Raw genomic sequence first — 21687 nt, forward strand, 5'->3', positions numbered from 1 at the left:
CAACCTCTGCCTCCTGGGTTCAAGCAATTCTCATTCCTCAGCCTCCTGAATAGCTGAGATTACAGGCATGTGCCACCATGACCAGCTAATTGTTTTTCAATTTTTAGTAGAGACAGGTTTTCACTGTGTTGGCCAGGCTGGTCTCAAACTCCTGGCCTCAAGTGATCTGCCCACCTCAGCCTCCTAAACTGCTGGTATTACAGACATGAGCCACCACTTTCAGCCAGTTTTTACATTTTTTCAACGGTTGAAAAAAAATCGGAAAGAATATGTTGTGATATGTGAAAATTATAGGAAAACAGCTGCATTTTTGTTCTTATTTTTTGAGAAGGAGTCTCGCTCTGTCACCCAGGCTGGAGTGCAGTGGCACCATCTCAGCTCATTGCCACCTCCACCTCCTGGGTTCCAGCGATTCTCCCACCTCAGCCTCCCGAGCACCTGGGGCTACGGGCTCGCACCACCACACACAGCTAATTTTTGTATTTTTAGTAGAGACGGGGTTTCACCATAGTGGCTAGGCTGGTCTCGAACTCCTGACCTCAAGTGATCCTCCTGCCTTGACCTCCTAAAGTGCTGGAATTACAGGCATGAGCCACCGTGCCTGGCAGCTGCATTTTTCTTTTTCTTTTCTTTTTTAAGATGGAGTCTTTCTCTGTCACCCAGGCTGGAGTGCAGTGGCTCGATCTCGTCTCACTGCAACTTCCACCTCCCGGGTTCAAGCGATTCTCCTGAGTAGCTGGGACTACAGGCGTGTGCCATCACGCCCGGCTAATTTTTGTATTTTTAGTAGACATGGGGTTTCACCACATTGGCCAGAATGGTCTCAATCTCCTGACCTCGTGATCCACCCGCTTCAGCCTCCCAAAGTGCTGGGATTACAGGAGTGAGCCACCTTGCCCAACAGCTGCATTTTTCAAGGTTGGTGCTCTAAGACTACAGTTCTCAAAGTGGGCTCCAGGGATCCCTACAGATCTTTCAGGGGGTTCATGAAGGTTAAATCATTCATGAGTAAAAGATCTATTTAAACAGTAAGTTAGGCTGGGCAAGGTGGCTGGCTGGGCGCAGTAGCTCTCGCCTGTAATCCCAGCACTTTGGGAGGCTGAGGTGGGCAGATCACCTGCAGCCAGGAGTTCGAGACCAGCTTGGCCATCACTGTGAAACCCTGTCTCTACTAAAAATACAAAAATTAGTTGGGCATGGTAGCGCGCACCTGTAGTCCCTGCTACTCGGGAGGCTGAGGCACAAAAATCGCTTGAACCTGGGAGGCAGAGGTTGCAGTGAGCCAACCTCACAGCACTGCACTCCAGCCTGGACGACAGAGCGAGACTCTGTCTCAAGAAAAAAAAAAGGCAAGTGAGGCCAATGCATTTTTAAAAAATTTCCCAATGATAGCTATTTATCCTGAGCCAATGCATTTTAACATAGCAGTACTAAAAAGTTCACAGATGTGGTTTCAAATTCTATACCACAGCTAACCTTTATGAAACTATCACTTTTCAGATTTTGCTGTAGTATCAAAGAAGACTATATACAATTACCTGAAAATAATCCTTTCTTTTCCCATTACATCATTTTCTTCAAATACTTAAAATGACATATCTTAACAGATTGAATGCAGAAGCAGATATGAGAATCCAGCTTTTTTCTGGTTAGCCAGACATTAAAGAGATCTGAAGTTCTTCCCCCAAATTCTTTTTAAACAAAATAGTTATTTATGTTAACATGTAATGGGTTTGTTATTTTAAAGTAAATTAATAAATATTTTAAAAACTTATCTCATAATTGCTAATATGCTAAATATCAACAGATATAACCCAGATAAACAAATGCTCTTTGGAGTCCTCAATTATTATTTTATTTTATTTTTTCTGAGACAGGGTCTTACTCTGTTGCCCAAGCTGGAGTGCAGTGGCACAATCTCAGCTCATTGCAACCTCTGTCTCCCTGGCTCAAGTGATCCTCCTACCTAAGCCTCCTGAGTAGCTGGGACTACAGGAGTGCACCAACAAGCTCGGGTAATTTTTAAAATTTTTGTAAAGACAAGGTCTCACTATATTACCCAGGCTAGTCTCAAACTCCTGGACTCAAGCAATCCCCCCACCCCCACCTCAACCCCCCAAAGTGCTGGAATTACAGGTGTGAGCCACTAGGCCTGGCCCTCAATAATTTTTAAAAGTATTATGGGGTGAATTCCGAGACCAAAAAGTTTGAGATCCACTGCTTTAAGAAATACACAAGCAGTAGAGGGCCCTAGATTGATCAAACAGAAGGCTGAAATTAATTTCTGGATTTCAAGCTCAGACATGCAGAAACTGGCTTCAAAGAAAGGAGCCAGCTTAAATAGACCAAATAGTTTTGCAGCAAATGACTGAAAACAGATGAGAGTGAGAATTAGGCTGAATCATAAGTTAGGCAACACATAGCCAAAGCTTAGGAACCTACCTGGAAGCAGCTTCATACAGGCAACTACTTGAAGTTTTTTTTTAAGGCTTTCTAGGCTTTCAGAGGATTCCAGGACTATTTTGAGCTATCCCCAGAAAGGTTAATAAAGCAAAAACAAAGAAGCAACAACTTGCTAAAGTGACAGCAGGAAGCAAAGTTAGAAATAACTGGAGAACATTGTATTTATCTATGTTTGGCCTCAGTGTGCATTTTAGAAGTTGAAAAACTCCTGGAAACCAATAGGATGCTGAACAAAAACTAAACAAAAAATTTTAGTTTGTTCTGCCATTTTCAGATAAAGTATGATCCTCAAAACAATAAGCCAAAAGTAATCAACCCCAAAACACTGATCTTTTAAAATTACCTTTTAATTTAAAGGACCAATTTAAAATCTTAAACAGGCTGCAAAGAACAAAAAACCTGACAGGCTTTAATATTAAAGTATAAGATTGGTTCTGGATAGGAAATAGCTGCACTATCCCACAATGACAATCACTGAGACACTTAGAAGTTCTCAGGAAAAAATATTTATTTCCTAAGTCTGTCCACATATTTTCAACAGTGATCTATTTGGGGTTATTCCAATGCTCGCCAATTCACTCTCACCAGTCCTAAACATGTAAGTGTAAAGTATTACCAAACTACTATTGACCAAAACTTCAAAAAATAAGTTAAAGAAAATGGTGTTGGCTGGGCGTGGTGGCTCATGCCTGTAATCCCAGCACTTTGGGAGGCCAAGGCAGGCGGATCGCCTGAGGTCCGGAGTTCAAGACCAGCTTGGCCAGCATGGTGAAACCCTGTCTCTACTAAAAATACAAAATTAGCCAGGCATGGTGGCAGATGCCTATAATCTCAGCTACTCAGGAAGCTGAGGCAGGAGAATCACTTGAACCCAGGAGGCAGAGGTTGTGGTAAGCAGAAATCATGCCACTGCACTCTAGCCTGGGCAACACGGCAAGACGCCATCTCAAAAGAAAAGAAAAAAAAAAAGAGCTGGGTGCGGTGGCTCACGCCTGTAATCTCAACACTTTGGAAGACCGAGGCGGGCGGATCACAAGGTCAGGAGATTGAGACCATCCTGGCTAATATGGTGAAACCCCGTCTCTACTAAAAATACAAAAAAATTGGCCAGGCATGGTGGCGGGCGCCTGTAGTCCCAGCTACTCGGGAGGCTGAGGCAGAAGAATGGCATGAACCCGGGAGGCGAAGCTTGCAGTGAGCCGAGCTCGTGCCACTGCACTCCAGCCTGGGTGACAGAGCGAGACTCTGTCTCAAAAAAAAGAAAAGAAAAATAAAAAAGAAAATGCTGCTACAGGAGTCATGTTGGTACCAGAAATATGATGTTAAATAAAACCAACAAGGTGTTATTCAAGTTTGATAAAACTTAAATATTACTGGCAAGAAACTTGGTACCAACATGATTCATTTACAGTAATTACGTCACATTCAACAAATCATCCTGATTTTATAATATAGTTAGGGGCTGGATGCGATGGCTCACACCAGTAATCCCAACATTTTGGGAAGCTGAGGCAGAAGGATCCCTTGAGCCCAGGAGTTTTAGATCCCTGGGCAAGAGAGCAAAATCCTTTCTCTGCAAAATAATTAAAGATTGGCTGGATCGGAAGTGAGGGGGTGTGCGTCTGTAGTCCCAGCTACTTGGGAGGCTGAGGCAGGAGGACTGGAGGATCACTTGAGCTCAGGAGTTCAAGGCTGCCAGTGAGTTATGATCACGCCACTGCATTCCAGCCTGGGTGACAAACCCAGACCCATCTCTAAAAATAATGATAATAATAATGAGTCAGGCATATTCCTATTTCAAAAAGAATGGTTGTGCCCTATTTTTCAATCTGACAAAATGTTTTTTTCTTACTGCATGGTAATTTTAAGCCCTCCCCAAAAATTGACCGGTTTAGCACACAAACATTCCTCGTCTACTACAGCAAAAAGAAGCAATCTATCAGATCAGGAGAAAACAGTAAGGAATTCCACTCAAAGGAAGCAAGCTGGGTTTTGTGAGAAGGTGGGGCTGTGGCAAAACATGTGACCACAGATGTCCATGCCACAAGCTCATGAAATGACTTTCTAAGCTAAATCTTGGCTCCCGTTAGTTTACTTTTGGGTTTTTTTGAGCCAGGGTCTCACTCTGTTACCCAGGCTAGAGTGCAGTGGCGTGATGTCAGCTCACTGAAACCCCCGCCTCCCAGGCTCAAGTAATCCTCCCGCGTTGGCCTCCCAAGTAGCTAGGACTAAAGGCGTGCACCACCAAGCCCAGCTAATTTTAAAATTTTTTGTAGAGATGGGGTCTCCCTGTGTTGCTCAGGCTGGTCTCGAACTCCAAGCTCAAGCAATCTGCCCACCTCAGCCTCCCAAAGTGTTGGGATTACATGTGTGGGCCAACTCACCCAACCTACACTTTCATAGACTTTCATGATATTTATTAAGAAGAGATACAATATTGAAAAGAAAAAAAGAAACTTTATGCACATTCTGGTTTCAAATGTATGGGAACACTGAGGATTAAAATTGCCAAAAGATGAGAAAAGGCGTGGCCGGGTGCGGTGGCTCATTCCTGTAATCCCAGCACTTTGGAAGGCTGAGGCGGGTGGATTGCCTGAGCTCAGGAGTTCGAGACCAGCCTGGGCAACACAGTGAAACCCCATCTCTACTAAGATACCTAAAAAATTAGCCAGGTGTAGCAGCGTGTGCCTGTAATCCCAGCTACTCAGGAGGCTGAGGCAGGAGAACTGCTTGAACCTGGGAGGCGGAGATTGCAGTGAGCCGAGACCATGCCACTGTACTCCAGCCTAGGCAACAGAGAACGACTCTGTCTCCAAAAAAAAAAAAAAAAAGGTGAGAAAAAGCTAACAACCTGAAGTCAAGGGTTTGTAATGAGTTTTACTGTAAACTTATGTATTATTTCTTTCTTTGAGACAGGGTATCACTTTGTTGCCCAGGCTGGAGTGCAGTGCTGCAACCTGGGCTGGCTGCAAACTCTGCTTCCTGAGCTGAAGCAATCCTCCCGCTTCAGCCTCCCAAGTAGCTGGCGCTACAAACGCATGTCACCACACTCAGCTAATTTTTGTATTTTTTATAGAGACAGGGTTTTGTCATGTTGCCCAGGCTGGTCTCGAACTCCTGGGCCCAAGCCTCCCAAAGTGCTAGGATTATAGGTGTGAACTACTGTGCCCAACCAATGCTTATGTATTATGTCCTTCTTAAAACTACTATACTAGGCCAGGCACAGTGGCTCACACCTGTAATCCCAGCACTTGGGGAGGTCAAGGTGGGTGGATCATTTGAGGTCACGGGTGCGAGAGCAGCCTGGCCAACATGGTTGAAACCCCGTCTCTACTAAAAATACAAAAATTAGCCAAGCATAGTGGCAGGCAACTGTAATCCCAGCTACTCGGGAGGCTGAGGCAGAAGAATTGCTTGTAATCAGAAGCCGGAGGCTGCAGTGAGCCAAGATTGTGCCACTGCACTCCAGCCTGGGTGACAGAGCAAGACTATGTCTCAAAAAAAATTTTTTTAAATAATAATAAAAAAAAGACTACTATACTAACTCACCTTTGCTTTGGTTGGGAACCTTCGTTAAATGTTTGCCTACAAAATTTTAAAAGCTTATCTTTTTATACAAGTTTATCTTTTCATACAACCTTTCCTGAATTGTAACACTCATCCTTCATTTCCGAGGAAGTGATATAGCAAATACTTTCAAAATTGAATTGAATCTTGCCTCATTGTAAACAGGCAGTCAGTCCATTATACAGAAGACCAAAAAAAAAAAAAAAGTTTTTAAACAAAAGGACAAACAAGAGAAAGGAAGGAAACAAAATACTATGATTTAACAGGAACAAAACCCAACATTCTTTCAACACAAAGTGTCCACAAGGGAAATGTCGAAGAGAAAATGTCATGATAAAATATTTTTAAGATATAAAATGACTCCAATGCAAAATATTTGTTGTTGTTGATTTTTGTTTTGTTTTTAGCTCAAAGGAGTTATTATTTCTCGTCATTTATGTTCCTTACTTGTGTTTATCCATTCCCACTGGGTCGACAGAAACATTTCAATTTTATTTTCTTTACAGTCTATTTTTCTTCCTGATTCTTCAAGAGTAAGTTCCTTGATCTTAACTTCTATTTATGAAAGTTCTGGCCTGAAAAGAACCTTGAGGGGTTATCGAGTCCATCCTTCTGCTTTCCAGGAGAATTCATAACTAATGCTATCAGATGGATGAGAAGGTATCAAAAGAAAATGCATTGTTTCCCTGCCTAGTAGCATGCTAATTTAATATGCACATTCATTCACGATTTGCAATTTTTTAAAAACGAAAGTAAAAATTAAAATGCCAAAAGAGGAAGGTACTTAAAAAATGCATTTATCAGCTAAAATTGCTCAAACATAAATTCAACTGTCAGGTCTAAAATTAACAAGCAGGAAAAGTTGCTGCCTGCCAATGTAAAGTCTTTAGTCCCTAGAGATGTCTTCTGAAGTTGTATCTCATTTGTAGCACCCTTCACCTACAACACTTAGACCTGGCAAACTTAGACCATCCTTGCCAATAAACTACAATTATAAATGGCAATTGTGTGTGTGTGTGTGTGTTTATAGTTGGTATAGGTTTTTATTCCAAACAGAAAATGAAAAGTTAGGGTCGGACGCGATGGTTCTTGCCTGTAATCCCAGCACTTTGGGACGCTGAGGTAGGTGGATTGCCTGAGCTCAGGCGTTCGAGACCACCCTGAGCAACATGGTGAAACCCCATCTCTACTAAAACACAAAAAGTTAGCCGGGCGCAGTGGTGGGCACCTGTAGTCCCAGCTACTTGGGAGGCTGAGGCATGAGAATTGCTTGAACCTGGGAGGCAGAGGTTGCAGTGAGCCAAGACTGCACCACTGCACTCCAGCCTGGCTGACATAGCAAGACTCTGTCTCCAAAAAAAAAAAAAAAGAAGAAAATGAAAAGTTAGGTCTAAATTGGAGATGTCAACATTACAGGGAAACTACATAAAATTGTTTTCAGAGAGTAGTTTAATTCTTTCATTTCTAAGTTGAAATGTCCAGGGAATAAAGTTTTTTTCCTAAAAGAGTTTCCAAGGGCAGGTGGCTCACACTGTAAGCCCAGCACTTTGGGAGGCCCAGGTGGGCGCATCAACTGAGGCCAGGAGTTTGAGACCAGCCTGCAACATGGTGAAACCACGTCTCTACTAAAAATACAAAAATTAGCCAGGCGTGGTGGCATGTGCCTGCAGTCCCAGCTACTTGGGAGGCTGAGGGGGAGAACTCCTTGAACCCAGGAGGCAGAAGTTGCAGTGAGCTGAGATTACACCACTGCACTGCATCCTGGGAGACAGAGCGAGACTCCGTGTCAAAAAAAAAAAAAAAAAGAAAAAAAAAAGAAGAGTTTCCAAAACAAGCTGGGCATGGGGGCCCAGCCTGTAATTCCAGCACTTTGGGAGGCCAAAGCAGGCAGATCACCTGAACTTAGGAATTCAAGACCAGCCTAGGCAACATGGGAAACTCTGTCTCTACAAAAAATACAAAAATTAGATGGGCACGGTGGCGCACATCTGTAGTCCTAGCTACTCAGGAGGCGGAGGCAGGATAATCACTTGAGCCCAGGAGGCAGAGACTGCAGTGAGCCAAGATGGCGCCATTGCACTCCAGCCTGGGAGACAGAGGGAGACCCTGCCTCAGAAAAAAAAAAAAGTTTCCGAAACAGAATTTCATCTAATGTCAAAAAATCTGGCCAGGCACAGTAGCTCATGCGTGTAATCTCAGCACTTTGGGAGGCTAAGGCAGGAGGACTGTTTGAGCCCAGCAGTTCGAGACCAGCCTGGGAAACATGATGAGACCTCTACAAAAAATAAACAAAATTAGCCAGGCATGGTGGCATGAGCCTTTAGTCTCAGCTACTCAGGAGGCTGAGGTAGGAGGATGGCTTGAGCCTGGGAGACTGAAGCTGCAGTATGAGCCATGATTGTGCCACTGTACTCCAGTCTGGGCAACAGAGTAAGACCCTGTCTCAAAAAAAAACCATGGCCGAGCACGGTGGCTCACGCCTGTAATCCTAGCACTTTGGGAGGCCGAGGTAGGTGGATCACTTGAGGTCAGGAGTTCAAGACCAGCCTGGCCAACATGATGAAAACCCATATCTACTAAAAAAATACAAAAATTAGGCCGGGCGCGGTGGCTCACGCCTGTAATCCCAGCACTTTGGGAGGCCGAGGCGGGCGGATCACGAGGTCAGGAGATCGAGACCATCCTGGCTAAAACGGTGAAACCCCGTCTCTACTAAAAATACAAAAAATTAGCCGGGCGTAGTGGCGGGCGCCTGTAGTCCCAGCTACTTGGGAGGCTGAGGCAGGAGAATGGCGTGAACCCGGGAGGCGGAGCTTGCAGTGAGCCGAGATCCCGCCACTGCACTCCAGCCTGGGCGACAGAGCGAGACTCCGTCTCAAAAAAAAAAAAAAAAAAAAAAATACAAAAATTAGCCAGGTGTGGTGGCACATGCCTGTAATCCCAGCTACTTGGGAAGCTAAGGCCTGAGAATTGCTTGAACCTGGGCGGCAGAGGTTGCAGTAAGCCTGCCACTGCACTCTAGCCTGGGGAACACAGCGAGACTTCGTCTCAAAAAAAAAAAGAAAAAGAAAAAAACCACAACCAAAAGACAGTAACAAAATAACAACAAAAAATCCCTGCAACTATGAAGAAATATGGTTAATTTTCTATAATTATTTGAAAATGAAAAAAAAACAGGACTAGAAGTCTTGGAAATGGGAAAATTATAATTTTTTAAAATGTGGGGCAAGGGAGGTCGAGTACAGAAATCGTAGACTAGTGAAATATTATTTCTCAGAAAGATTCTAAATGAATTATTAAACAGATCACTTATGAACCACTGGCAAGTTATGCAGTGATCTATAAACAGTAGCATAAGATACCCAAACAGCAACTAATATGCAACTTCATTTTCTTTTTTGACAGGGTCACTAGCCTAGGAGTTCAGAGATGTCAGAGGCAGAATATACTGCATTTGGATTTCAACAAGATACCTCTTGCTATTTCATAGAAAATAAAGGTTAGATTATATAAAATGGCAGGTGGGATTCACAACTGAATTTTATCCAAAAGTTGACTAACAGGTTAATGTTAACATAATGATAGTCTACTCATGTTGTATAGCATTGTTCTACCCTTATACATGTTTACCAGTGACCTAAAACAAAAACACAGGTATCATGTTTATCAAATTTATCAATAATACAAACATATGAGAAATGGTCAAGAGGTGAAATGACATTATCAAGCTAAAACAACAAACCAAATTAACAAAATGATAATTACAGGGATAAATGTAAAGTTGTCAAAAAATCAACTACATGGCCGGCGCGGTGGCTCACGCCTGTAATCCTAGCACTTTGGGAGTTCAAGGTGGGTGGATCACTTAAAGTCAGGAGTTCGGGACCAGCCTAGCCAACATGGTGAAACCCCGTCTCTTCTAAAAATACAAAAAAAAAAAATTAGTTGGGTGTGGTGGTGCAGGCCTGTAATCCCAACTACTCTGGTGGCTGAGGCAGGAGAATCGCTTGAACCCGGGAGGCGGAGGTTGCAGTGAAACAAGATCGAGCCACTGTATTCCAGCCTGGGTGACAGAGCAAGACTCTGTCTCAAAAAAAAAAAAAAAAAAAAAATCAACTACACAAACTAATGTGATCTTAGGCTTTAAAAACAGAGGCATAGAGTGCAATAAAATAGAAGTTGTGATTCCCCCCGTAGTTTGTATTTATTAGATTATATCTGAGATGTTCAGACCTAGATGAGGAACCATAAACCACTCAGGTAACTAACTTGATGAAGAGCCTGATCTTTTATTTAAAATGTCACTTAAGAAATCGTACGGGCTGGGCTCAGTGGCTCATGCCTGTAATTCCAGCACTTTGGGAGGCCGAGGTAGGCGGATCACTTGAGGTCAAGAGTTCAAGACCAGCCTGGCCAAAATGGTGAAACCCCGTCTCTACTAAAAATACAAAAATTAGCTAGGCATGGATGGCGGGCACCTGTACTCCCAGCTACTCAGGAGGCTAAGGGACAAGAATCGCTTGAAACCGGAAGTTGGAGGTTGTAGTGAGCTGAGATCGCACCACTGCACTCCAGTCTGGGAAACACAGCAAGACTCCATCTCAAAAATAATAATAATAATAATAATAATAGAAATAGCTGGCCGGGCGTGGTGGCTCACACCTGTAATCCCAGCACTTTGAGAGGCCGAGGAGGGCAGATCACGTGGTCAGGATATTGAGACCATCCTGGCTAACACGGTGAAACTCCGTCTCTACTAAAAATACAAAAAATTAGTCAGGCATGGTGGCGGGCGCCTGCTAGTCCCAGCTACTCGGGAGGTTGAGGCAGGAGAATGGCGTGAACCTGGGAGGCGGGGCTTGCAGTGAGCTGAGATTGTGCCACTGCACTCCAGCCAGGGCAAAAGCGCGAGACTCTGCACTCCAGCCAGGGCAAAAGTGCGAAATTGCGTCTCAAAAAAAAAAAAAAAAATAGCTTAAAGAACTTGGGGTATTTACCCCAGAAGAGATGCCTCCTGTAATCCCAGCACTTTGAGAGACCAAGGTGGGGAGATGGCTTGAGCCTAGGAATTCCAGAAGAGCCTGGGCAATGCAGGGAGACCCAATCTCTACAAAAAATTTAAAAATTAGCCAGGCATGTTGGCATGCGCCTGTGGTCCCAGCTACTTGGAGGCTGGGAGGACTGCTTGAGGCCAAGAGTCCTAGTTACTCAGGAAGCTAGGACTAGAAGATAACTTTAGCCTAGGAGTTCGAGGTTACAATGATCTGTGATCACGTCACTTGCACTCTAGCCTGGGCAACATAGCGAGACCCTGTCTCTAAAAGAATGAAAGCGATAAGTGTCATGAAATACTTGAAGACTACCATGTTAACAAGGAACTAGATTTATTTATTGTGGCTTCAGATAACAGAGCTAAAGAGCTTCAGCACAATGTAAAAAATGTTCTAAAAGTAAAGCTCCAATAATGGAACAGGGTATCTGTGAAGTGGAGACTTTCTCCTTAGAGTATTCAAAAGTCAAAAGACCAACCGTCTTTTAACACATCATACCAACTCTGATGTGTTTTCACATATCATAAATTTATTTGATCCCTCCTAAAAAAACCTTAGGGGAAGGCAACATGTCAAAATGAGTAAATGTCAGAGAAGCTTAAAAATTATTTTCTTTGACATATTTTTAAAGAGACAGAAGACTTTTTCATGAACTCCAAAATCGTAGGACCATTTTCTGAGAAACCAACAACAAAAGAAATGAATGCTTTTTCCTTTTAAATGAATGCTGCATTTGTTTTTCTCAAAGAAACACCTGTACCTTAACTTTAGTACTTTTATTAAGGGATAAGGGACAATTATATACCAGTATGCTAACTAGTCTCAAGAAAAGAGCTAGCTTTATTAGACATTTACGTGGAGTTCTATCTGTTCCACCTAAAACTTCCTTGCAAGGAGAAGGCTCCTCCTTATCAGACGTGGATAGGAGGCTGCTGTAACACTAACTCCCTCCCACTGTAGCCTAGGAAAAACTCGGTCTTGACATGCACAAAACAATAACTTCTGAGAACTTCAGAGCAGCTGTGTTCAGACAGAGCCAGTGACTTTACTCCAGGCAAAGAAGTAGTTTAAGAGTTGGTTGAAAAAACAATTTTCATTTTGGGTTGGAAATGAGGAAAGGAAAGAGAACAAGATACAGTAAGTAGAGCTATTAACATTTTAAAACCGTGGTAAACAAACGTGTTTAAAAATTACAACACTGAAACTACCACAGGGTGTAAACTTTGATCCACAAGTTGAAAGATGAGCAGTGTTATCACTCTAGCTTTCTGCTAGATGGTAGCACTAGTGAGAAAAAAAAAATCTTGGGTTTAATAGTGCCCTAGTCAAAGCAATCACCAATTCTAGGGCAGAAGACCAAAACAAGGGACTCTGCTCTCTCACTGGGTAATTTTCTGTACTGCTGCCAGGCAAACTGGAAATGTTCTGAATGTCCAATAGCAATGCACTTACTGTGAAATACTAGAACCCAGCTCAGTAGTTAATGCTAACGGGTCAGCAATGAATTGGTCTCAATGTGCTATAGGGGCAACTTCTTGGCCAGGGAGAAAGGCTTCAGCTGATTGCAGAAAACCAAAGGTTAATACAACTACGTACTCTGGTTTCTCTTCATGTAATAGCTTTACTGATATTTCAGACATTATTTCCCTTCTCAAAAGTAAAAGGAGAAGAGAAGGAATGTAAAAGCAAAATCTACGCAAGAGCAAAGAAGTTATTAATTGGCTATATTAGTCCAATTCGTTATTAAATGATACACAACTATCAAACAAAGGGCAAAGCCCTGTCCCTTTTCTGTACAGAATTAAGAACTGGTAAGACTACTTAGCAGAGCTTGCAAACTTTTCTTTAGCTTCTTTTCTTACAGACATGTTACATTTCGCAAGAGCCTCCACTTACCTTACAACTTCCATGTGTAAGTACAAATTGTGTTTGATTTCCCCAGCCCTTGGCCTAAGATATTATGACATAGCTTTAGTTTCTGAGTCTGGACACAAAGGAAAAAACTGAACATTTTTCACTTTCCTGAAATAACATGTCTATTTTATTTACACTATTTAAAAACACATTATGTAAGTTAACTAAAACAAACTGCAACCACCCATTCGACAACTCTTCGAGAATGACTGGGGAAGCCACATTTAACAAAACAAACTTCATTTTAGTATATTTCTGCTTAGAATGCCCATAAAGACTGATATCGCTACAAGAATTACACTACTGCAAAATTTTTAAACACAGGACTCATGTGAGCTTGCTGAGAAAACTCTGCACACCCCCTACACACCTGTACTTAATATGACATGACCCTCAGAGATACTAAAACACCCTCTGTTAAGCAGAAAACAAACTTTTAAAGTTAGGAAAGTAGCAACGCGGGAATCTGGGTAGGAGGTGCCCTGGGTTGTAAACACCCCAGTCAGAGAACATAACAAGCAATTCAGAGCAACATATTAAGTCCCTATGGGGCTCCAACTTGGACTGCTTAAGTCCCAAGACCACATCCTGGTGTCTGGGAAGAGTTTGGGTAATAGAAGAGAGGGAGAAGGAAAATCAGAGAAGCGATGAAAGCGTTCTATTTTTCTCCTTCTCAACCCCCATCCCAGCATCTTGGAGGCTGGTCACCAGTCTGGGTGCCATATCCACCAGAAGCCCTAAATCAATATCCCAACCACCTGATACCTAGGCTAAAGACATGTGTATATCAGCCATCTCCTTCCCAAACACCTCTTATCGCTCTCAAGGCTCATATCCTTCCAGAAGCCATGCCTTATGGCGACTCAGCTCACCCATACTGTCCTCTTAAATTAATTCACTTAATTTTCTCCAAATCCATACTTTCTCTCTGATATCATGTCCCTGATGTTCTTTTAATTAATTCAATCAAAATGCCATGACCCTCATTTCCAATAATCCACCCCATCTATCTTTTCTGCCAAACCCAACGGGGTGTTGTGTCACCAGATCAAGATCTTTGTTCTCATCTACTCATTCCTACCTCCTTCCTATTACCCTTTTCCAATTCCAAGCTCCTAATCCCACTCTTTGGGAAGCCCTGGGTTTCTAACTTAGTTTAGTATCCCTCCTCTTTCTCCCATTCCACCCCATCCCATGATCCTTCCATTAGGCTCCACTAGACTACCCTTCCCTCAGGATTCAATTCCCCTCTCCTTGCCACGCCCTGTGCCCCCCGGGGCTACTTACACCAAGTTCTCCCCACACTTCAAGCCTCTGGCCCCGCCTTCCCCCCAAAGGAAGGAGGCGGGAGTAGGGAGAGAAGGGCGGCGCTCGGCAACGTAAAAGCGATCTCCCATTAGCGCTCATCGCCGCCAATCGAGGCTTCCTTCTCTCCCATTGGTCGGCTTTGGCCTATGCCCCACCCTCTTCCTCAGACAGGGCCCGGCCACCGCCTCAGCGCCCCCGTCCAACACAGACTGGGAGGGGAGACCCCAGCCTGGAACGCTGGGACTGGCCAGAGTTGAAAGGGAGACTCCCGTCAGATCATGGACTAGCTAATGTTAAAAGGACTTACCGGCTGGTAGCTCCGTTGCCTCCCGCCTGCCCGCGCTCGGTCCTACAATCTGTCTCCAGCTCCTCCTTTCCCCCCTTGGCGGAACGGATACTTTCCTCCCGTCCGGCCAGGCGCGCTCAACTCTCGCGAGAAGTCATGGGTCCGCGGGGGAAGGGCGAGATCCGTGGGGGCTGAGTTGGAAAGCGGCCGAGAGGCGGGGGCTCCGGGAAAAGAAGGGGCCGGGCTTACTGTGGGCAGGGCTGGGGAGGGAGACTGAGCGAGTACTGTCCACACAGGTCACACGTGTTCGGCTGCAGAATCTAGCGGGAGAAAGAAAGGAAAAAGGAGAGAGGATCTTTACAGGTGCCTGTAGTGGTGGTTACTACTATCTTTCAGAGTCATCGCTTCCTTAACGGCAAAGTAATTTAAAATACCCTTAGCGCTAGAAATGAAGTCCATGTACGGACAAAGCAATCCACCCGCACAGCAATTCTAACACTACCATTTTACTAGCCCTATTGCCTTGGGTGAAAACCTTCTCTGAGTCTCTGTACAATGGGACTAACAATCTCATTTTATTCAAATAGTTGTAATGATCAAATGAGATACATGAAACTGCTTGGGGATTTTTTAAAATCACTATATTATTCAGCAAATATTTTCACAAAACGTAGGGCATACTACATGCAAAGCATTGTTCTGCAGTCGAATGCTCTATCCCTGAGCTATACCCCCCGTGCAAAGCATTGTTCTAAGCATGGGGTTAAGGAGTTACCAACCCAGGTAGAATTTATATTTGAGTGAGGAAGGGGAGACAGTTAAAAAGCCAATAAACACAAATATTTCAAATAGTGAAAAGCGCTTCAGGATAGTGAGACAGAAGGTGACTAGGAGTGGGGAAGAAGCTTTACTCCTAGTGTTTGAGAGAAGACCTCTTTGAGGAAGTAACACACCAGGAGTTGAATTATGACCTGGGAAGATTTCGGGGGAAATATCAAATGCAAAGTCTATAGTCTTACATTTATATGTCTTGTTCAAGACAAACCAGGAAAAGAAAAAAGAAAAACAAAAAACAGGCTGGGTGCAGTGGCTCACGTCTGTAATCCCAACACTGCTAGGCCGAGGCAAGAGGATCGCCTGAGCCCAGGAATTTGAGACCAGCCTGGGCAACATGGCGAAAACTCAGCTCTACGAAAAAATATAAAATTAGCCGGGCATGGTGGCCTGCACCTGTAGTAGCTATTCGGGGGGCTAAGTGGGAAGATCGCTTGAGCCCAGGAGGTTGAGGTGGCAGTGAGCCCACATCAGGCCACTGCACTCCAGCCTGGACAACAGAGTGAAACCCTGTCTCGATAAATAAATAAAATAAATAATTTTCTTAAAATTTAACGAATTGTAGTTGACTTAAAATATTATCTATGGAATCTCTGTTCTCTCCTTTTGCAGCTTTATGTTACTCAGCTTTCTGAACTTTCTGTCTAGCATCTCATCTATCCTCACAGCACCCTCTGAGAGGTAGGAAGAATCTGGGTGATTTCTCCCTAGATACCTAAAATGAAACAGATGTAAAATCTTTCTTTCTTATGTAGTGAATTGAGAAAAGTTGAGAGGAGTCTTGGCTTCCAAACTATTCTCCCCTAAAACAATTCCTACTTAAAAGAATACAGTGATGGAAACATACCTTAAATATATAAGAAAAATTTGTATGTTGGCCGGGCGCAGTGGCTCACGCCTGTAAATCCCAGCTACTCAGGAGGCCGAGGCAAGAGAATCACTTGAACCTGGAAAGCGGAGGTTGCAGTGAGCCAAGATCCCGCCATTGCACTCCAGCCTGGGCAACAACAGCGAAACTCCGTGTCAAAATAAATAAATAAATAAATAAATAAATAAATAAATAAAAATAAAATCAGAGGGAAAAGGATTCTACAAATCGTGGTGGAACAATTGGCTATCGCTGTATACATGCAATAGCTAATATTTATAGATTTTACTATGTTCCAGGTACTATTCTAAATTGATGTTTTTTGTTTGTTTGTTTGTTTTTGTTTTTTGAGACGGAGTCTTGATCTGTCACCAGGCTGGAGTGCAGTGGCACGATCTCAGCTCACTGCAACCTCCACCTCCTGGGTTCAAGCGATTCCCCTGCCTCAGCCTCCCGAGTAGCTGGGACTACAGGCGCACGCCACCACACCCAGCAAATTTTTGTATTTTTAGTAGAGACGGGGTTTCACCATGTTGGCCAGGATGGTCTCAATCTCTTGACCTTGTGATCTGCCCGGCTTGGCCTCCCAAAGAGCTGGGATTACAGGCATGAGCCACTGCGCCCGGCCTTTTTTTTTTTTTTTTTTTGGCAGGGTCTCCCTTTGTTGCCCAGGTTGGAGTGCAGTGGCATGATCACTGCTGACTGCATCCTCGACCTCCCAGACTCAAGCAATCCTCCCAACTCAGCACCCCAAGTAGCCAGGACTACAGGTACATGCTACCATGTCCAGATGATTTTTTAAAATTTTCCAGGCCGGGTGCGGTGGCTCACACCTGTAATCCCAGCACTTTGGGAGGCTGAGGCAGGTGGACCACGAGGTCAGGAGTTCAAGACCAGCTTGGCCAACATGGCAATCCTGTCTCTACTAAAAATACAAAAATTCGCTGGGTATGGTGGTGGGCATCTGTAATCCCAGCTACTTGGGAGGCTGAGGCAGGAGAATTGCTTGAACCCGGGAGGCGGAGGTTGCAGTGAGCTGAGATCATGCCATTGCACTCCAGCCTGGGTGACAGAGTGAGACTGTGACTCAAAAAAAAAAAAATGTCTGTAGACACTAGGTCAGGCTGGTCTTAAACTCCTGGACTCCAGTGATCCTCCCACCTTGGCCCCTCAAAGTGTTGGGATTACAGGCATGTAAAGAGGCCCGGCCTCTTTATTGTTGAGTTATAAGAATTCTTTATATATTCTAGATACTAGATGCTTATCAGATATATGATTTGCAGATATTTTATCTCATTCTGCAGGTTAGTTGTCTTTTCACTTTCTGATAGTGTCCTTTGAAGCTCAAAAGTTTTTTTTTTTTTTTTGAGTTGCCCAGGCTGGAGTGCGGTAACGCAATCTCGGCTCACTGCAAGCTCCACCTTCCGGGTTCATGCCATTCTCCTGCCTCAGCCTCCGGAGTAGCTGGGACTACAGGCACACGCCACCACGCCCAGCTAATTTTTTTGTATTTTTAGTAGAGACGGGGTTTCACCGTGTTAGCTAGGATGGTCTCGATCTCCTGACCTCATGATCCGCCCACCACGGCCTCCCAAAGTGCTGGGATTACAGGCATGAGCCACCGCGCCCGGCCTGAAGCTCAAAAGTTTTATATTTTGATAAAGTCCAATTTATCTTGTTTGTGCTGTTGGTGTCATATCTATATCTAATAAACCATTGCCTAATACAGTATCATAAAGATTTACACGTGTGCTTTCTTCTAAGAATTTTGTTGTTTTTAGCTCCTACATTTAGGTCTTTGATTCATTATGAGATAATTTTGTATATGGTATGAGGTAGAGGTCCAATTTCGTTCTTTTCCATGCACAATTGTCCCAGCACCATTTGTTGGAAAAGATATTATTTCCCTCATTCAATCCTCTTGGCACCCTTGCCAAAACTCATTGGACCTTAAATATATTGGTTTACTTCTGGACTTTCAATGTTATTTCGTTCTTCTATATGTCTGTCCTTATGCCAGTATCAAAAGGCTTGATAATTTTAGCTTTGTAGTAAGTTTTGAAATTAGGAAGTATGAATCCTCCAATTTCGTTCTCTTTTTTCGAGATTGCTTTGGATATACTGGGTCCCTTACATTGCCACATGAATTTTAGGGTCAGCTTGTCAATTTCCACAAAAAAGCCATCTAGGATTTTAATAGGAATTCCCTTGAATCTGTAGATCAAGGAGTATTGCCATCTTAACAATATCGTATTCCAATCCACGGACATCGAATGTCTTAACATTTATTTAAAGCTTCTTAATGTCTTTCAACTGTATTTTTTGTAGGTTTACTTTGTTTTTTATTTTGTATTTTTTTGATTTTTAAATTTTTTTAGAGACGGGATTTCACCATGTTGCCCAGGCTGGTCTCAAACTCCTGGGCAACATGGTGAAACCCCATCTCTAATGGGGTTAGATCCACCCACCTTGGCCTCCCAAAGTGCTGGGATTACAGGTGTGAGCCACCTCACCTGGACTTATTTTGTTTTTTAAGTTAGAGACAGGGTCCCGCTTTGTTGCCTAGGCTGGTGTCAAACTCTTGGTCTCAAGCAGTTCTCCCACCTTGGCCTCCCAACGTGATAGGGTTACAGGCATAAGCCACTGTGCCAAGCTGTGTTTTGTGGTTTTCATTGTACAAATCTTGTGTTTCTCTTGTTAAACTTACTCATATTTTTTATTTTCTTTTTTGAGACGGGTCTCACTTTGTCACTTAGGCTAGAGTGGTGCAATCATAGCTCACTGTAACCTCCAACTTCTGGGCTCAAATGATCCTCCCACCTCAGCATCCTGAGTAGCTAGGACTACAGGTGCATGCCACCATGCCTGGCTAATTTTTTTTTTTTTTTTTTTGCTCTCCTGCCTTGGCCTCTCAAGGTGCTAGGATTACAGATATAAGCCACCATGCCTGGCCTCTTTCTTTTTTCAGTTAGAGATGGGGTCTTGCTATGTTGACCAGGCTGGTCTGAAACTCCTGTCCTCAAGGGATCCTCCTACCTCAGCCTCCCAAAGTGCTGGGTTTACACATATGAGCCATTACACCTGGCAAGTCTTTCATTATTAAGTGTGTTGTTAGCTGTTGTTTTTTTGGTAGCTGTACTTTAATCAAAGTGAGGAAGTTACCTTCTATTCCTAGATTGTTGAGTGTTTTTATCATGAAGGAGTGTTTGATTTTATCAAATGTTTTGTCTATTTAGATGATCATGTGGTTTTTGTCTCCTGTTAATATGGTGTATAACATTGATTAATTTTCATTTGTTAAACCAACCTTGCATTTCTGGGATAAATCTCAGTTGGTCATAGGGCATAATCTTTTTACATGTTGCTGGATTTAAGTTTTCTAGTACTTTGTTGAAGATTTTTGTGTCTATATTTATAAGAGATGTTAGTCTGTAATTTTCTTCTTGTGATGTCTTTATCTGGTTTGATTACCAATCAGGGTAATACCGATCTCATAGAATGAATTGAGATATGTTGTCTTCTTTTTTTTTTTTTTTTTTTTGGAGATAGGGTTTCACTCCCATCACTCAGGCTGGAGTGCAGTGGTGCGATCTCAGCTTACTGCAGCAGACTTCACTTCCTGGGCTCAGATGATTCTTCCACCTCAGCCTCCCAAATAGCTGGGACTACAGGTGCGTGCCAACATGCCGGGCTAATGTTATGTATTTTTAGTAGAGACATGGTCTTGCCATGTTGCCCAGGCTGGTCTCTAACTCCTGGGCTCAAGTGATCCCCACACCTCAGCCTCCCAAAGTGCTGGGATTACAAGCATGAGCCACTGCACCCAACCTCCTCTTCTATTTTTTTAGAAGAGTTTGTGAAGAATTGGTGGTATGGCCAGGTGCAGTGACTCATGTCTGTAATCCCAGCACTTTGAGAGGCTGAGGTAGGAGAATTGCTTGAGGTTAGGAGTTCAACCTGGACAACATAGTGAGATCCTATCTCAACAGAAAATACTATGTGTGTAGTGCCAGGAATCATGGTGGCACATGCCTGTAGTCTTAGCTACCTCAGAAGGCTGAGGCAGGAGGATTGCTTGAGCCCAAGAGTTGGAAGTTGCAGTGAGCTATGATCTTGCTACTGCACTCCAGTCTGGGCAACAGAGCAAGACCGTGTAGAAAGAAAGAAAGAGAGAAAGAGAGAGAGAGGGAGAGAGGGAGGGAGAGAGGGAGAGAGGGAGGGAGGGAGGGAGGGAGAGAGGGAGGGAGGGAGGGAGGGAGGGAAGGAAGGAAGGAAGGAAGGAAGGAAGGAAGGAAGGAAGGAAGGAAGGAAGGGCAAGACCCTGTCTAAAGAAAGAAAGAAGGAAGGAAGGAAGAGAGAGAGAGGGAGGGAGGGAGGAAGGGAGGAAGGGAAGCGGGGAGGGAGGGAAAGGAAGAAAGGAAGGAAGGAAGGAAGGGTGTTAAGTGTTCTTTAAACATTTGACTGAATTCACCAGTGAAACAACATGGTCCTGGGATTTTCTTTGTGGAACTTTTTTATTTTTAATGAGTAATTCAGTCTCTTTTCTTGTTATGGGTTTATTTAATTTTTTAAAATTTCCTCTTGAGTCAGTTTCAGTAGCTTGTGTCGTTCTAGGAATTCTTATATTTCATCTAGATTATCTAATTATTGGCATGCAATTTTCATAATATTCCCTTATAATCATTTTTATTTCTGTGAGCCTGATGATAACATTCTTTGTTTTATTCCTGATTTTAGCAATTTAAGTCTTCTCTCTCTCTCTCATTTTATTTTTATTTTTGAAAGCAATTTTATAACTTTATTTGATGTATCTGACTATCAGCAGTTAGTTCTCATCCACATTGCCTGTAGATTTTTGAAAGCGGTAACGGGTACATTGGTAACCAAAGTATAGAGCTTATTTGGTGAATCTTCATCCTCATTATGTTTTCTGGACAACCGCATACGGATAAGGTCTTGGACATTCCTTATTCCTTTGGCCCAGACAGCTTTGTTGAGTCTAGTATCAATGCGCACATCTGGAGTTCCCATCTCCTTCATGGCAAATTTCCAGATCTCTTTGCATGCCCAAGGGGAACGCTTCTTGAAGCCCACTCCGTGGATGCACCTGTGAAGGTTGACGGTGTATTCTCGGTCACCACCTTGTTGATGACAGAACAGCCCTTTTTCTTCTCGCCACCCTTCTTTGCGGGCCATTCTGCTGGGCCCAAGTTGGAAAGCTTTATTTATTTATTTATTTGAGACAGGGTCTTGCTCTATTGCCCAGGCTGAAGTGAAGTATGTGCATAGCTCACTGCAGCCTTGAGCTCCTGGGCTCAAGCGATCCTTCTGCCTCAGCCTACTGAGTAACTAGGACTACAGGTACATGCCACCATGCCAGCTCAGCTAATTTTTTG

At 43.4% G+C, this 21687-nt stretch overlaps 2 protein-coding genes and 1 pseudogene across 14 annotated transcripts in view, besides 1 other annotated feature; all 3 read right to left on the reverse strand.

Moving 5' to 3' along the window:
- The window catches only part of ATF7-NPFF (ATF7-NPFF readthrough), a 119695-nt gene extending 104981 nt beyond the window's left edge, over positions 1–14714 (reverse strand). For all 3 annotated transcript variants that reach the window (NR_159377.1, NM_001366560.1, NM_001366559.1), the window contains exon 1: positions 14611–14714. The gene's annotated coding sequence lies outside the window, so the exon portion shown is untranslated. The remainder of the gene's footprint in view (positions 1–14610) is intronic.
- ATF7 (activating transcription factor 7) overlaps positions 1–14714 on the reverse strand; it is a 118527-nt gene extending 103813 nt beyond the window's left edge. For 6 of the 11 annotated variants that reach the window (NR_073163.2, NM_001366561.2, NM_001130060.2 and 3 more), the window contains exon 1: positions 14611–14714. The gene's annotated coding sequence lies outside the window, so the exon portion shown is untranslated. Of the gene's footprint in view, positions 1–12977; positions 14329–14610 lie in introns of those variants that run through there. The other 5 variants (NM_001366556.2, NM_001366563.2, NM_001366558.2 and 2 more) reach the window with 3 other exon arrangements.
- Positions 14571–14640: an enhancer, noted in NCBI's record as "active region_6425". NCBI's record gives its function as "activates an Ori minimal core promoter by ATAC-STARR-seq in GM12878 lymphoblastoid cells {active_cell/tissue: GM12878}" and the evidence as "EXISTENCE:reporter gene assay evidence [ECO:0000049][PMID:35858748]".
- On the reverse strand, positions 21145–21510 carry RPL31P51 (ribosomal protein L31 pseudogene 51; annotated as a pseudogene).

This window comes from Homo sapiens, chromosome 12, assembly GCF_000001405.40.
Source record: "Homo sapiens chromosome 12, GRCh38.p14 Primary Assembly".
In the NCBI taxonomy this organism is placed as follows: Eukaryota; Metazoa; Chordata; class Mammalia; order Primates; family Hominidae; genus Homo; species Homo sapiens.